This window comes from Homo sapiens, chromosome X, assembly GCF_000001405.40.
Source record: "Homo sapiens chromosome X, GRCh38.p14 Primary Assembly".
In the NCBI taxonomy this organism is placed as follows: domain Eukaryota; kingdom Metazoa; phylum Chordata; class Mammalia; order Primates; family Hominidae; genus Homo; species Homo sapiens.
This window is the reverse complement of record NC_000023.11, coordinates 1,678,334-1,681,043: the sequence shown is the minus strand read 5'-3', so window position 1 is coordinate 1,681,043 and position 2,710 is coordinate 1,678,334. Positions and strand designations below refer to the sequence as shown.

Here is a 2,710-nt window from a genome sequence, read left to right as displayed (position 1 = left end):
ACAGGCACCTGCCACTATGCCTGGCTAATTTTTTTGTATTTTTAGTAGAGATGGGGTTTCACCCTATTAGCCAGGATGGTCTCGATCTCCTGACCTCGTGATCCGCCCGCCTCGGCCTCCCAAAGTGCTGGGATGACAGGCGTGAGCCACCGCGCCCGGCCAGCTATGATTTATTATAGCCAAAGCACACAGAACAAAATGAACAAAGGGAAGATGCACATTGAGAAAAGTTTGGGAAAAGCAAGGGTCAAGCTTCAGAGTCTCCAAGTGGAATCACACACGATATACCCAGTTCTCCGAGCAACAGGTCCTGATCACACATGTCAGTCAAATGCTGTCGACCACAGAAACTCATTGGAGACTCAGCCTAATTGGGGGCTGTTTACTAGGGGCTGGTCCCATAGGCAACCACCCCCAAGTACCTCCCCAAATTCCAGGGTCCCACCCAGAAGGAAAGCAGGTGTTTGGCATAAATCACATTATGAAGAGGCTTTACACAGTGAGGCACCCTTGTCATTTAGGATGGTGAAACTTCTACACGCAAGTTCCCAGACGCCAGCCAGGAGCCAAAGTACCATGCTACCTTATCTAAAGAGAGCAGGATTTTTTTGTTGTTTGTTTGTTTGTTGTTTTTTTGAGACGGAATCTCGCTCTGTCACCAAGCTGGAGTGCAGTGGCACGATCTCAGCTCACTGCAGTCTCCGCCTCCCAGGTTCGAATGATTCTCCTGCCTCGGCCTCCCGAGTAGCTGGGATGACAGGCGCGCACGAGCACGCCTGGCTAATTTTTGCATTTTTAGTAGTGGTGGGGTTTCACCACGTTGGCCAGACTGGTCTCGATCTCTTGACTTCGTGATCCGCCCGCCTCGGCCTCCCAAAGTGCTGGGATTACAGGCGTGAGCCACGAGCCTGGTCTAAAGAGAACAGTTTTCTATATTAATTATTTCTTTATTTTTTGAGACAAGACTGATCAAAGAGACCCTTTCTACCAATAAGATACCAAATTCCCACCTAATTCTGGTATGGCATCAAAGGACAGATAGCAGGCCCTGAAGGAATCAGCATATTTTTCTGCAAAATATATTGTCTTTCACTTATCTTGGCACATCTCCGCAAAGCCATCTCTTGTGGGGGAAATTTGCATTCTGTAAAGAATCCCTATACAAAAATCAGCCGGGCGCGGTGGCAGGTGCCTGTAATCCCAGCTACCTGGGAGGCTGAGGCAGGAGAATCTCTTGAACCCCGGTGGCAGAGGTTGCAGTGAGCCGAGATCCAGCCACTACACTCCAGCCTGGGCGACAGAGTCACACTCCATCTCAAAAAAAAAAAAAGGAAAGAAGGGAAAGATTCCCTGTATTAGTCTGTTCTGATTCTGCTAATAAAGACATGGCTGAGACTGGGTCATTTATAAAGGAAAGAGCTTTAACGGACTCACCATTTCACATGGCTGCAGGAGGCCTCACAATCATGGTGGAAGATGAACACAGAGCAAAGGGACGTCTCCCGTGGTGGCAGGCAAGACGCGGTTTGGTTAGGGAAACTCCCCTTTATAAAACCACAAGATCTCGGGAGACTTAGTCACTCATTAGAACAGCATGGAAAAAACCTGCACCATGATTCAATTACCTCCCACCACGTCCCTCCCAAGACATGTAGGAATTATGGGAGCTATAATTCAGGGTAAGATTTGTGTGGGGACACAGCCAAACCATATCAATCCTCTTCTCTCATCACGTCTTCCCTGGAGAGTCCGACAGCTTTTAACCTCTGATGTGAGACATTTACCCCAGCCTGGCCAACATGGTGAAACCCCATCTCTACTAAAAATACAAAAATTAGCCCGGCTGGGTGGCAGGTGCCTGTAATTCCAGCTACTTGGGAGGCTGAGGCAGGAGAATTGCTTGAACCTGGGAGGCGGAGGTTGCAGAGAGTGGAGATTGTGCCACTGCACTCCAGCCTGGTGATAGAGCGAGACTCTGTCTCAAAACAAGAACAAAACAAAACAGAGAGACATTTACCATCCATTCTTTCTAAGCCTGCTACCTGCTGGCTTCATCTACATCACAAAAACCTTGTCTTCCACAACCCCCATCATGTAAACTGAGGCATTTCTTTCTGCTAAATTGAACGGCATATCAGAAAATCCTTGAATCCACATATGACCCCGAGGCGCCCACGTAGAGATGTCCTACCTTTCTGGCCCAAACCAATGTACGCCTTCCATGTATGGATGTATGTGTTTGTTGCAACGTCTGTCTCCCTAAAATGTGTAAAATCAAGCTGTAACCCAACCACCTTGGGCAATTCTCCAAACCTCCTGAGGCCGTGTCACGGGCCACGGTCCTTAACCTTGGCACAATAAATGTCCATATTGATGAGATCTGTCTCACATAGTTTTTGATTTACAGTTTGCAGATGGCTGCCTTCTCCCTATATCTTGATAGGATTATCCCTCTGTGTGTGTCTGTGTCCCAATATCTTTTTTTTTTTTTTTGAGACAGAGTTTTCACTCTTGTTGCCCAGGCTGGAGTGCAGTGGCACGATCTCAGCTCACTGCAACCTCTGCCTCCCGGGTTCGAGCAATTCTCCTGCCTCAGCCTCTCGAGTAGCTGGGGTTACAGGCATGCACCACCATGCCGGACAAATTTTTGTATTTTTAGTAGAGACGGGGTTTCACCATGTTGGCCAGGATGGTCTCAATCTCTTGACCT

At 48.1% G+C, this 2,710-nt stretch overlaps 1 annotated feature.

Annotated features, from left to right (window-relative positions):
* Window positions 1,758-2,325: an enhancer, noted in NCBI's record as "OCT4-NANOG hESC enhancer chrY:1747612-1748179 (GRCh37/hg19 assembly coordinates)". NCBI's record gives its function as "activates a minimal SCP1, AML or CMV promoter by ChIP-STARR-seq in naive and primed H9 embryonic stem cells {active_cell/tissue: H9 hESC(naive and primed)}" and the evidence as "EXISTENCE:reporter gene assay evidence [ECO:0000049][PMID:30033119]".